The sequence below is a fragment of the Homo sapiens genome, chromosome 4 (assembly GCF_000001405.40).
Source record: "Homo sapiens chromosome 4, GRCh38.p14 Primary Assembly".
NCBI lineage: Eukaryota > Metazoa > Chordata > Mammalia > Primates > Hominidae > Homo > Homo sapiens.
This window is the reverse complement of record NC_000004.12, coordinates 87,228,940-87,243,326: the sequence shown is the minus strand read 5'-3', so window position 1 is coordinate 87,243,326 and position 14,387 is coordinate 87,228,940. Positions and strand designations below refer to the sequence as shown.

The 14,387-nt window shown below is 39.9% G+C and overlaps 1 protein-coding gene across 3 annotated transcripts in view, besides 4 other annotated features; it reads left to right on the top strand.

Annotated features, from left to right (window-relative positions):
- Positions 1–2,795: 2,795 nt before the first annotated feature.
- The window catches only part of KLHL8 (kelch like family member 8), an 80,429-nt gene continuing 68,837 nt past the window's right edge, over positions 2,796–14,387 (top strand). For all 3 annotated transcript variants that reach the window (XM_047416014.1, XM_047416012.1, XM_047416013.1), the window contains exon 1: positions 2,796–3,069. The gene's annotated coding sequence lies outside the window, so the exon portion shown is untranslated. The remainder of the gene's footprint in view (positions 3,070–14,387) is intronic.
- Positions 7,236–7,530: an enhancer, noted in NCBI's record as "tiled region #2168; K562 Activating DNase unmatched - State 4:PromP". NCBI's record gives its function as "activates a minimal TATA promoter and a strong SV40 promoter by Sharpr-MPRA in K562 cells {active_cell/tissue: K562}" and the evidence as "EXISTENCE:reporter gene assay evidence [ECO:0000049][PMID:27701403]".
- Positions 7,236–7,614: a biological region, named in NCBI's record as "Sharpr-MPRA regulatory region 2168".
- Positions 7,315–7,414: a silencer, noted in NCBI's record as "silent region_15558". NCBI's record gives its function as "represses an Ori minimal core promoter by ATAC-STARR-seq in GM12878 lymphoblastoid cells {active_cell/tissue: GM12878}" and the evidence as "EXISTENCE:reporter gene assay evidence [ECO:0000049][PMID:35858748]".
- Positions 7,505–7,614: an enhancer, noted in NCBI's record as "active region_21705". NCBI's record gives its function as "activates an Ori minimal core promoter by ATAC-STARR-seq in GM12878 lymphoblastoid cells {active_cell/tissue: GM12878}" and the evidence as "EXISTENCE:reporter gene assay evidence [ECO:0000049][PMID:35858748]".

Here is a 14,387-nt window from a genome sequence, read left to right as displayed (position 1 = left end):
AAAAATTCAAAAATTAGCTGGGCATAGTGGCACACACCTGCAGTTCCAGCTACTCAGGAGGCTGAGGTGGGAGGATCACTTGAGCCTGGGAGGTTGAGGCTGCAGTGAGCCATGATCAAACCACTGCACTCAGCCTGGGTTACAGAGTGAGACCCTATCGCAAAAAATTTGTTTAATCTTTCTTTTTCTCTTTCTTTCTTTCATTCTTTCTCTCTGTTTTTTTTTTTTTTTTTTTTTTTTTTTTTTTTGTCAGAGATAGTCTCACTATGTTGCCTAGGCTGGTCTCAAACTCCTGCCTTCAAACAATCCTCTCCCACATCAGTCTTCCAAAGTGCTGGTTTTATAGGTGTGAACCACCACACCTGGCTTATCTTTGCTTTTATAAAGAAGCACATTGTGTTTCTTGAATGTATGTATTAATTGTTTTAGTTAAATTTGAGGTGTTTAACTATCATTTTTTCCAATATTCTTTCTTCCCCTTTCTCTTTTTCCTACCCTTCTGGGATTCTCATTTTATATATGTTGGAACACTTAATGATGTCCTGCAGGTCTCTGAGGCTTTGTTCATTTTTTGCTTTCTTCTGTCTCTTTGTTCCTCAGACTGGATAATCTCAAATGACCTATCTTCAAGTTTGCTGATTCTTCTTTCTGCCTTCTCAATCTGCTTCTGAGCTTTTCCAGTGAATTTTTAAATATCAGTTATTGTAATTTTCAACTTCAGAACTTCTTGTTTTTGTAATCTCTCTCTCTTCATTGATATGCTGTATTTGGTGAGGCATTATTTTCATACTTTCCTTTAGTTCTTTAGACACAGTTTCCCTTAGTTCTTTCAATATTTTTATAATAGCAGATGCAAAGCCTTTGCTCAGGAAATCCAATGTCTGGGCTTTTTTAGGGGCATTTTCTATTTATTGCTTTTTATCCTGTGTATTCACTCTACTTTCCTCTTTCTTCACATGCCTTGTAATTTTTGGTTGAAAACTGGACATTTCCAACAAAGTAATGTGGCACCTCTGGAAATCAGACGTCCCCTCCAACACACACAGGTTTGTTATTATTGCTGTTTGTTGTTGTTCTGTTGCTGTTTGTTTATTTAGTGACTTTCTTGAACTAATTCTATAAAATCTGTATTGTTTGTCATGTGTGGCCACTAAAGTCTATATTTGGTTAGCTTAGTCAACAGATCATAATTGAACAAAAATTTTTTTTCAATGTCTTGAAGTCCTCTAGCCTTTGCCAGGGGACTCTGAGAATGTGTATTGGGACATGCTTTCAATGCTCTGGCAGGCAGTTTACAACTCTGCCTGTAGTTTTCACTCTCTACTTGTGCAGAGATTCAAGTTAGCCAGAGGTGGGAAATTACAGCCTCCTCAGGTCTTCCCTACTCATCATGCATAATGCACCATATATGTACTTGGCCTTCCAGATTTCTGGAATATATCAGAGCTTCTTTTTAAATTTTTAAAAATTATTTTATTTTATTTTTATAGATTTAGGGAGTAAAAGTGTGTGATTTCTTACATGCATGTATTGTGTAATGGTGAAGTCTGGGCTTTTGTGTACCCATCACCTGAATAGTGAACATTGTACCCAACAGGTTGTGTCAGATCTTTTTAAAGACCCCCTATGGACATCCCATTTCCTACCTTTTTCTTTCAGCTTCTTTGGCCAGCTTCTTGTTTGCCCCAACTCTTATCATCACGTTAGGCAGCTGTGATATTAAACAATTTTGCTTGTTGTTCTCAACAATTGCCCCAGGGAAAAGGCTGTTCACAGTCAGTGAACCCTTAGATCAGATAAAGACAACCTTTGCAAATAGGGCTTTCAGAAAGCTGCCAGATAAGTCCTATAATGACAGTTCTCTGGGCTTTGGGCTTTTGAGAGTTCCAAATCCATTCTGGCCATCTTCAGAGACTGCTAGACTGCTGGTTTTCATGGCTGTCATGATAGCAAGGTTGTTAATTTTCAAGACTTCTAGGGAGCTGGGGAGAGAAAAATGGATTTATGGCAAGTTAAAATGCCACAAATCTCACCGTTTTAACAATATTTAGTCATTTTTTAAAATAAATACTTTTTAGATTGTCGTAAACCTTTGATGAATTTCCAGAGTTCTGAAAATATTGATTTTGACCATTTTTGCCAATCTTCTCGCTGTTTTTTTGGAGGAGCAGATTTTTATGGAGAAGATCTTCACTCCACCATGTGGAAGTGGGTAATATGATTCCTTTTTTGACCAGTAATTACTGAATGTCTCTTAAGTACAGGGCTATACCTGAGGAAAGAGTCACACAGATTTATCTAAAAACTTATTGCTACTGTATACATTGGCTGTTGGCAGAGGAAAGAGAAAAAAAAGTAAAGCTATAATAAATAAATTTGTATACTAATTCAGACATAGATCAGAAAGCAAAAAAATAGAAAAAAGAATATATGTGTATACTATTATCATTTTGATTAATGGATTCAGGGAAATTTCTGGAAGAGAAATTTTTGAAAACATTAGCCATTTAAAAACAAGGGCATGCTTTTCTTTTTTGAACAGTTATGGATTGTTATCTGTGAGTCTTACATAAGACTTCCTGCTTAAGGGCTATTTCAGTCTATGAGAGGAAATAATGGGAGAACACAATTAATATGAATTTTTACCATTAAACCACCTTTGATTTAATTATCTCAGAGAACCTATAACCCTTTAAACAATTCAGCTTCAGAGCACCCTGGAGAGACACAGAAGGTTGTCAGGGACACGTGATCCAGGATATGTGTTTCCTGGATGATTTTGTTTCAGCTCATTTATTCCTAACACAGAAGCAAGCAGAGTAAACAAAAAGATAACTCATGCTGTAATGAGGACCTTGTGAACTGGAACAACTGAAGCTACTGAAGAGCCTAACAACTGGACAAATAAATGAAAGAAGACTATAAAGAGCAACAAATGGAAAAAGTACTTTCTAAGTACAAAGTGGTGTTTGGAAGACAGTGCTGCCAGTGTTTTTCTGGTAATTCCTCTTTAGATGCTGTCATTTTCAGAAGAAGCTGATGTAAATGCCTCTACAACCTAAAGCCCAGGTGAGCTATGTTGCCTTGGTTTGATTATCTAACGATTCCTTAATCTAACATTGCAATAAGACTGTGAAGTAGAAGACAGAAACTTTTTTGTCTATGGTATTAGAAGACAGAAGCCCTGGGTGCTGCTTTTAGGGGCAGCATGTATCTTTTCCTTCTCCAAGCTGGCTGGAGGAAGTGTTCTCAAAGTGCTGTGGGGAAAAGAAACCATCATGATTCATTTATGTGGAATATCAGATAGTAAATTATTAGGACTTTGAGCAAACATTTAAAATTCCATCAGTGCCTACCAGATGAGGGGGTTAAGATCATAGAAACTCAAAGGTTTGTTCTTGGATGAAATTCCTATGAAAAGGGGATGGGAAAAAGAGGGAAGAATCTGGAGGCTGATGATTGAGAAGTAGCACTGGACCTGATGGGGTTTTCTCTTTTTACTTTATTTTTAGAATTACTGTAAATAATAATACTAACCTGGCAAGGAGGTTTTACAAACCATGTTTCTCAAATAAATCTTACCTTGAAGAAGCCATGTAGGTAGTTTCAGCCCAAGGTTCTCATAAATTCATCCTCTGAGGATGTATTGTTAGTACTGCTGAAACACCTGCTGCCTCTTGCATATGTTCTGGATTATTTGAAGGAGGGTGAAAGGGAACTGAGAAAAAGGTACCCAGAGGTAAAGCTTGGCCTTATCCACCTCATCACCTTTTCTCTGATCTATTATCAAGCAGAGAGGAACTACTGAACTTTTCACTTATTAGAAGTGCGCATGTTCCTTAATTCTTATGATTCAATAAACAGCCAAGCTTGGAGAGAGGTACTGGGAAATAACGGAGCTTTGCTCCTGCCAAGTCTGTATTACACATCAGATGGAGTCAGATTCTTAACAGGCGCACTGGAGCCTCTCCCTGGGGTCTCCTTTCCAAGCCCTGCTCCATTTCCCACTTGAATGTCTTTAAAGAGTCACAACTTTATTCATTCATCAAGCAAACAAATATTTACTGCGCACCTACTATATCTTCCAGGCTTTTAAAGAAACGCTAGAGTGTCTTTTGAAGGAACTCTTCTATCTACTATACTCTCCACTTATCTTAAAATAAGTTAAATTTCACATATTTAATCACAAATATTTATTGAACACTACTACTTAGAGAAGAACCTTACTGAGTGCGAAAAAGGTATATATTGTATTGAAGACAAAAGAATCCAGAGCTCTGGGGAATCTGCATTTTTAAAAAATATAATAGAATGTGTTGAATTTAAAATAGGTGTCTCGAAACAATATTTACGTGGAAAAAAAGTCACTAGAGAGACCAAATGGAATGGTAAATTTGACTGCTAATTGTTACAGTTCACAATAACTTAATGATAAAATATAGGCAGATAGCATGAAAAATTACATTATCTCATGGAGCCAATTTATACAGGACCAGGGTAAAAATTATGGATGCTTGAGCACTGAAAAGTCATGATTCCTTCTATCATATGTATTTCCAGATCAAAATAATATTAAGCTTTCATTAAAATAAATACAAATAAGTCCAATACATTTTTTATTTTTCCAATGATAACTTTACTTTTCTCCTGTCCATTTTGGTAGCTACTAGCCACATATGACAATTTGTATTAAATAAAATTAACAATTTTCTTTCTCAGTGTTAAACTAGGCCCATTTCAAGTGCTCAATAGTCACATGTGACCAATAACTACATTATTAAAAAGAACAGATATAGAACTTTTTTGTGTGTGTGACAGGGTCTTGCTAGGCTGGTCTTGAACTCCTGGGCTCAAGCTATCTTCCAACTTGGATCTACCAAAGTGCTAGGATTATAGTTATGAGCCACCACCATGCCTGGCCAAGAACATTTTCATTATCACAAAAAGTTCTATTACACAGTGCTGACTTAAATGCTTTATGAAAATACATAACAAATATTTTCAAAAATGATTTTCTCTTTTTTCTTCTTCTCTACAAATATGCTTGGTGAGAAATCCAGGAAATATAAGAAATGCATGGAATATAAGATGTAGGCTGAGCGTGGACGTTCACGCCTGTAATCCCAGGACTTTGGGAGGCCGAGGTGGGTGGATCATGAGATCACGAGTTTGAGACCAGCCTGGCCAACATGGTGAAACCCTGTCTCTACTAAAAATACAAAAATTAGCCCAGCATGGTTGTGCACGCCTGTCATCCCAGCTACTCAGGAGGCTGAGGCAAAAGAATTGCTTGAACTCAGGAGAAGGAGGTTGCAGTGAGCTGAGATTGTGCCACTGCACTCCAGCCTGGGCGACACAGCAAGACTCCGTCTTAAAAAAAATGATATAACACTAAAACACATTAACAGAACACAGATATGTTTAGATATGTTTTTCTGAAAAGGTAGCAAAAACAGAACTCATTATTATTATCAGTGTCAAATCTGTATTATTATTATTAGGGACAGGGTCTCACTCTGTCACCCAAACTGAAGTGCAGTGAGCCAAGATTGTGCCACTGCAACCTCTGCCTCCCAGGCTCAAGTTATCCTCCCACCTCAGCCTCCTGAGTAGCTGGGACCACAGGTGCATGCCACCATACTCAGCTAATTTTTGTATTTTTAGTAGAGACAGAGTTTCACTATGTTGCCAAACTGGTCTCTAACTCCTGGGCTCGTGCAATCTGCCTGTTTGGCCTCCCAAAGTGCTGGAATTACAGGTGTGAGCCACTGTGCCTGGCTATGATTTGTTTATTTAATCAATGACTGCATCAGTATGTTGTTTGTTAAGACTTCCAGTGAAATAAACTAGAACTAGGCTAATTTTCTGTTATTTATTATGTTGAAAAAACACATTTTGTTTTGTTTTGTTTTTAGTTTCTACTGATAACAGTTAAACAATTTTAAGGAAAAAAATATGCATTGTATTGGCAAGTATCTCATTATTTATTTAAGACCCAGCTCAAATACAGCTTTTCTTTGAAGACTTCTCTGATTATCTAGAAAAGTATGTGTCCTTATAATCTTCCAATACATTCTTCTTTCCGTGTTTTATTGCTGTTATTTGCATTATTATAGTGTCTTCCCCAGCAGACAGTTGGATTGGGAGTTCTGGGAGGATGAGAACCATATTCTCAGGCCTGACACAGTGACTGGGACTCAATACGGTGTTCATCTGGGAACATGGCTGCTGGCCAGTTCTGGGATTTTTAGCTATGGGAAGGACATGTGGCACTTAGGAATTTTGTTTCACATCTGTTGTGAAACTTCCCGCTGTCAAAGTGTTTGAGATTGTTATTGTCATCTTCATTTTAGACACAATACAGACTAGGTGCCGTGGCTCGCGCCTGTAATCTCAGCACTTTGGGAGACCGAAGCGAGTGGCTCACCTGAGGTCAGGAGTTCGAGACCAGCCTGACCAACATAGAGAAACCCCGTCTCTACTAAAAATACAAAATTAGCCGGGCTTGGTGGTGCACGCCTGTAATCCCAGCTACTTGGGAGGCTGAGGCAGGAGAAACGCTTGAACCCGGGAGGTAGAGTTTGCAGTGAGCTGAGATTGTGTCACTGCACTCCAGCCTGGGTGACAGAGTGAGACTCCATCTAAAAAAAAAAAAAAAAAAAAGACACAGTACAGATAAATTAAATGACTTTTCAAAAGGTACGCAATGAATAAAAGTCTGGGCTGTAATGAAATTTTCAGTCCTTAGTGTTCTAAAGTGATGTTATGCCCTTCCTTGAGGTTGCCTCCCTTAAGGTGTCTATTAAGAAATCAAATTCATAGGCCGGCACAGTGGCTCACGCCTGCAATCTCAGCACTTTGGAAGGCCGAGGCGGGCAGATCATAAGGTCAGGAGTTCAAGACCAGTGTGGCCAACATAGTGAAATCCCGTCTCTACCAAAAATACAAAAATTTGCCGGGCATGGTGGTGCGCCCCTGTAGTCCCAGCTACTCAGGAGGCTGAGGCAGGAGAATCACTTGAACCTGGGAGGCGGAGGTTGCGGTGAGCCGAGATCGCCCCACTGCACTCCAGCCTGGGCTACAGAGCGAGACTCCGTCTCAAAAAAAAAAAAAAAAGGAAAAGGAAAAAGAAATCAAATTCATACTTTTTCCTGGTATAAGGCAGATATTTTAAGGTAGAAGGAAAAGTGACAAATCTTACATAAAACTCTAGAAGAAAGGCTACTGTTGTTTGAACCTCGTGTCAAGGCTTACTTTAAGAAAGAGCCATTTCATTCGCTTTTTTTGGTTTCTATTTCTACCAACTTGGAGGCAGAGCGCTTCGTCACTACTGCTGTTTTACCAATATATTCCAGCAGAGGGCGCTCCAAGCATTTTACAACGTTTCCAATGGCGCCTTCGATTCCCCCTTCCCCCGCACCCTCCTCCCCACCGACCCGCCCCGCGGCCCGCAACCTCTCCGCTCTCATCCCAAAGACTTGTGTTTTGGCCTAATCCTTCTGGTGCCAAGTCATTGAAAGGTCCTGTTTACCCCTCGGGTTGTATTAGGAGCTGATAGGGTTTGAGAGATATTCTGCATTTTATCACACCTCTCCATATTCAATTCAGCAGGTCATATTTAAATATGAAATATAGAGGATAATTTTCAATGCTTGATTAGCTATAGAGATCATGCTAGGTGACGATTAAATGATAACAATTATGCTTTTTCTCCACCCTGCCCCCCAAAGTGTAGTTTATTCAATTCATCTCAAATGATGACAAAGGGATATTTTTATACTTTCTTCATTTGGCACCTCAAATACAGCCATGTGTTACTTAACAAGATTCTGAGAAATGCATCACTTTGTCTTGTGAACATCAGGGAATGTGCTTATACAAGCCTAGATGGTATAGCCTACTACACACCTAGGCTATATGGTCTAGCCTACTGCTCCTAGGCTACAAACCCACATGGCATGTTACTGGACTGAATACTGTAGGCAACTAGAATACGGTGGTATTTGTGTACCTAAACGTAGGAAAGGTACACTAAAAATACGGTATAAAAGATAAAAAATGATACTTGTATAGGGCACTTACCCTCAATGGAGCATGCAGGACTGGAAGTTGCTCTGGGTGAGTCAGGGAGTGAGTGGTGAGTGAATGTGAAGGCCTAGGACATTACTGTACACTATGTAGACTTTACAAACACTGTACAGTCAGGCTACACTATAAATAAAATATATTTATTTATTCAAATATTTATTCTTTCTCTGGTAATAAACCAACCCTAGCTTACTGTAATTATTTTACTTTATAAACTTTATAAACTTTAGAACACACTGTACAGCCATTCAAAAATATTTTCTTTCTTTGTATCTGTATTCTTTAAGCTTTTTTATTCTTTTCTTTTCTTTTTAAACTGTTGGTTAAAAACGAAGACACAAGCACACATTAGCCTAGGACTACACAGTGTCAGGATCGTCAATATCACTGTCTTCATCTCCACATCTTGCCCCACTGGGAAAGTCTTCCGGGGCAATAACCCACATGGAGTTGTCATCTCTATGATAACAATACCTTCTTCTGGAATACCTCCTGGAGGACCTGCCCCAGGCTGTTTTATGGTTAACTTTTTTTGAAATAAGTAGGAGTATACTCTAAAATAGCAATAAAAAGTATAGTAAATAAACCAGTAACATAGTCATTTCTTATCAAGTATTATAGAATATACATAATTGTATCTGCTATACTTTTATACCACTGGCAACACAGTAGGTTTGTTTACACCAACATCACAATATGCACATGAGCTTGAGTAATGCGTTGTGCAGGACATTATCATGGCTATGACGTCACTAAGGGATAGGAATTTTTCAGCTCCACTATAATCTTTTTTTTTTTTTTTGAGACAGAGACTCACTCTGTTGCCAGGCTGAGTGCAGTGGTACGACCTCCGCTCAGTGCAACCTCTGCCTCCCAGGTTCAAGCAATTCTCCTGCCTCAGCCTCCTGAGTAGCTGGGACTACAGGTGTGCACCACCACGCCCAGCTAATTTTTGTATTTTTTAGTAGAGATGCAGTTTTACCATGTTGGTCAGGATGGTCTCAATCTCTTGACCTTGTGATCCGCCCACCTTGGCCTCCCAAAGTGCTTGGGTTACAGGCGTGAGCCACCACACCCAGCCAGCTGCACTATAATCTTATGACACCACCCATACATGCAGTCCTTTGTTGACCAAAACATCCTTATGTGATTTATGATTGTACTTTAAAGTATCTCTACATCTACAGTATGGACCCAGAACTCATTCTACTCTAAATGTAGTTCTTCATCCAATAAGTGAACACTGATTGTGACAAATAGTTGGCTCACTTGCATTTTTGGTAGTTTATGTAATGTCTAAACAATGACAAAGAATGCATTGTCGAGTGCTTCTAAAAGATACATTTAGCCTGAAATTAGTATTTTTTAAAATATTGTTTAAAATAGAAAATCAAAGAATGAAAAAAGAAAATGGAAAAATATTTATCAAGTATCTTCAATCAAGATTTTGTAGGCATAAGTGGTAACGTGATAAAAATTGATTTTATAAAAAACCTAGGCAGACCAAAGATTTAAATATACAATGTAAAATTCAAAATTTTAGAAGAAAATATCGTTATGTCCCAGAAATAGGAAATATTTCTCAAAGAAGATATAAAAGAAACTCAACCCACTAGGTAAATAGGTGAAGTCTGATCAGTTTGTTTACATTCTTTTATTTTTATTTTTTGAGAGAGTCTCACTCTGTTGCCCAGGTTGGAGTACAGTGCACAGTCTCAGCGCACTGCAACCTCTGCCTCCCGGATTCAAGCCATTCTCGTGTCTCAGCCTCCCGAGTAGCTGGAATAAAGGTGCGTGCCACAACGCCCAGCTAATTTTTGTTGGGGTTTCACCATGTTGGTTAGGCTGGTCTCAAACTCCTGACCTCAAGTGATCCACCCGCCTCGGCCTCCCAAAGTGCTGGGATTATAGGCATGAGCCACGCACCCGGTCAGTTTGATTACATTCTAATCAAAAGCTACCTCCCATTGGAGTTTGAGATCAGCCTGGGCAACATGGTAAAACCCTGTCTCTACTAAAAATACAAAAAAATTAGCCAGGCATGGTGGCCTGTGCCTGTAATCCCAGCTACTCGGGAGGCTGAGGCAAGGAGAATTGCTTGAACCCTGGAGGCGAAGGTTGCAGTGAGCCAAGATCATGTCACTACACCCCAGCCTTGGCGACAAAGCAAGACTCCATCTCAAAAAAGAAAAATAAAAAGATACCATTGGAAAGCAAGATTATCAAAAGATATCACTAAAAAGTAAGACAAGTCACAAACTGGAAGAAGATATTTAATACTCACATAATGTACAGAAGATTACTACTCAGAATATTTAAAAATTACACCTAAAAAAAACTAATTGGAAAAAAAAACCTAATAGAAAAATGGACCAACAAATTGAACATGGATTTTACAAAAAGGAGATCTGAATTGGTAATAAATATATTAAACATATTAAAACCTCATTCATAACTAGATAAGTGCAAATTATGATCACAAGATTAGGGAAAAATTAAAACCACAAGATACTATTTTATGTCTACCACTGGTATAAATTAAGAAGTCTGGTAAAACCAAGTCTTGGCCAGAATGTACGATCACTGGAGTCCTCAGAAAACTACCTTAAAAGTGTGCATTGATATGACAATCTTGGAAGACAATTTGGCATTTTTTAGTTACATCGAAGTCATGCATATTGTAAAACCAGCAATTCCACTTCTGGAGAAACTCTTGTATTTGCTATGTACCCTTATACATATACACGAGTGTCCATAGCAGCATTGTCTGTAATTGAAAAAACTTGGAAGTAATCCAAGTATCCATCAACAAGATGAGTAAATTATGGTATATTCATATGATGAAATAGTATGTAGCAGTGAAAGATGAAGAAACCACAGCCATGTGTATCAACAGGGATGAATCTCACAAATACAATAAGAATAAGAAAAGCAGATTGGAGAAAGATACATACAGTATGATTCTGTCCATTTAAATTTCAAACACATGCAAACTAAATGCAAATAGGGTACAACTACAAAGAAATACATGAGAAAAATAAATATCACATTCAGATAGTGTTTACTATGGGAGAAAGAGAGATGTGTTTGGAAAGGAGCACACAGAGGTAAGTGCACAGTTCTATTTAATTATCCTTTTTATACACTCATAAAGAATAATTAACCTCATATACCAGTAAGTATAGGAAATGTATAATTATTTTTGAATATTAGAAATTATTAGCTTTGAAAGGGAGATGTCATCAATAGAATGTGGTATGTTTATGTTAGATTCATGGTTATAGAAATAAAGCATTAGGAGAAAATCTGTGAGATAGTGTGAACAATAAAAGTGGACAATCAACCGGGCATGGTGGCTCACGCCTATAATCTCAGCACTTTGGGAGGCCGAGGCAGGCAGATCACTTGTGGTCAGGAGTTCGAGACCAGCCTGGCCAACATGGCGAAACCTCGTCTCTACCAAAAACTAAAAAAATTGGCTGGGCATGGTGGTTCACGCCTGTAGTCCCAGCTGCTCGGGAAGCTGAGGCAGGAGAATCGCTTGAACCTGGGAGGCAGAGGTTGCAGTGAGCTGAGATTGCGTCACTGCACTCCAGCCTGGGTGACAGAGCGAGACTCCATCTCAAAAAAAAAAAAGAAGTATTTGTGGGACATAGAAGTTATATCAAGCAAAGCATGTCCTTGTACATGCCTGCCACAGGTGGGATGAACGTTACTGTTCACAGGTGGGGTGAACATTACTGTTCACAGGTGGGATTATCACATCATTCTCCCACTGCCATTATTCTGCAGGTGGCATGTTGAGGCAGAAGGCTGGCACTGAGCACCTGCCTGTCTTAGGTTGGGTTACCCCAGAAGCAAACCCAGACGTAAGGGTTTAGATTTATTAATAATTAAGTCAGGGTATTTCATTTGGAAAAGGATCCCAAAAGGCACTGGCAGGAGAGGAGGGAAGAAAGAAAGAAAGGGAAGAAAGTCAATGAAGGGTACATTATCACACAGATTCCGCGGAGGGTGACCAGGCTCACTCCCCTGGGAAACTGAGAAACCAGGCAGAATGCACCTCAGAGTTGCCCCCACCGGGCAGGTGAGGCCGCTGTGATTTTCAGACACCAACTCCCTTCAGTCACTGGTTGAAATCCGCTTTCAGGGAGGGGAGAGAGGACAAACTTCTCAGTACTTCTAGCCTGCTGTGCTGGCCAGGGCTACCCAGACAGAGAGAAAAATCCCCCAGGTGAAGGGCTGGACATTTCTCCAGATGGAAGTCCACATTCCACTTGTATGCTACACAGCCCCGATGTCAGGAACATACATATTGACGCGTGCAAAAATACTATGCAAAAAATCCTAACATCTAGGCTTCTGGTTCTTCCTAATACTGATTTTAAATGATTCTTTCCATCATAATGTGAAGGTGTAAGCCTGTCCTGGAGCAGGTAGGGAGTGGGATAAAAAGTGAGGGGCAGGAATTGAGAAGATTACAATTCTGATCACCTGGTCTGTGCTTAACACTGCGTTAGATGCTGGAAATAGATTTGTAACTCTTAAGCTGTGGTCCCCAGAGCTAATAATATAATCAGTACTTATATACACATGAAACATTTAAGTGTTAATAAAAGATTTATAGATTGTCAGTGTGAGTGATACAGATAAAAATGCTAACTGAGGAGAGAGGCATTTCTATGTTTAAAAGTAGGTCATACGTGGAATTCTTGACCAGACTAGAGGATTACATGACAGTTGGAATGAGGTGATCTAGGTGATAATCCCAGCCTGAACAAAAACGTTAATAGTAGGGGTGCTACTTGTCTCTCCAGATCTCTCCAGATTCGTCTTCACCCTTCTCCACCTTGATTGGTGCCAGAAAACGTTATGGATGAAATTGACAGAAGTCCTTGTCCCCTGGCTTCCAGCAGTTATATTGGGGGTGGAAGTGTCACTTGAGGAGGTCAAAGGGAAGGGCAGGAAGATTGGGGTGTTTCTCTCTCAGCTCCGTTCTTGCAGGGTTGTCATGAGTTAGCTGTTTTCCTTTGTCAAGACCTTAGTCAAGAGGTGCTCTACATACAGCTTCCTCTCTCCAGGTTCCAGGAACCGCTCTCTTACTAGCTCAGAAGTACTGCATTATTCCTTGCAGCTGCCTCTAGAATCTGTCCACACCTTTACTAAACTCTCCTCAAATTGCTGAAGTGTGCCATGAGTTTTCTGCCAGTGACCTGACTGAGAGGGTGGGAATGAACTTGAGAGGAGGGAGGAGTGAGATGTTTGGCCAAACTTGAGGAAAGGGCTCACGTTGAGAAGGGAGGGAGGTAAAACGAATATTCTTTTAATTCTTGTCTAAAGAAAAAGGGTAGGTGGTGGCGGGCACCTGTAGTTCCAGCTACTTGGGAGGCTGAGGCAGGAGAATGGCGTGAACCTGGGAGGTGGAGCTCGCAGTGAGCTGAGATTGTGCCACTGCACTCCAGCCTGGGTGACAGAGTGAGACTCCATCTCAAAAAAAAAAAAAAGTAGGCCAGGTGCAGTGGCTCACGCTTGTAATTCCAACACTTTTGGAGGCTAAGGCAGGTGGATCAATTGAGGTTAGGAGTCCGACACCAGCCTGGCCAACATGGCGAAACCCATCTCTACCAAAAATTACAAAAATTAGCCATGCATGATGGCATGCACCTGTAGTCCCAGCTACTTGGGAGGCTGAGGTAGGAGAATGGCTTGAACCCGGGAGGCAGAGGTTGCGAGCCAAGATCGCACCACTGTACTCCAGCCTAGGTGACAGAGTGAGACCCTGTTCCCTGCACCCCCCCCCACCAAAAAAAAAAAAAAAAGGAAAAAGATATTCCAGATTTGAGGACCATGTTCTGAGGGAGGTTTCAAAAATTCGGGCTGATGTGTAAATGGCTGCTGGTCAATGTCCATGCTGCAGAGGTGATCACATGTCATCTGTCCTGTGGTCTGCTTAGCCTCATCTGTTTTCTATTCAACAGTTGCAAGCATAAAGGCAGAGTCTCTGTGTAGTACCTCTACCAAGTAGGCATATATCTAATTACCCTCTGGCCTTCTATAATTCAAGTCTTAGCCGATGATAAAAGGAGCAACTGAAACCTTCCAAATAGGCTGAACAACAGGCTATTTTATTCTAATAGTCTAGTTTCACCTGTGAGGAAACAGGCTAAAAGTTTTTCTTCTGGTTCTGCTTCTTTGAAAAAGAAATGCAATTATAATTTTTTTAGTGTAATTTCCATGTTCAATGTTGGCTTTTAAACTCCCAAGGGGAATCACTTAGCCAGAGAAGCTGAGAATTTGAG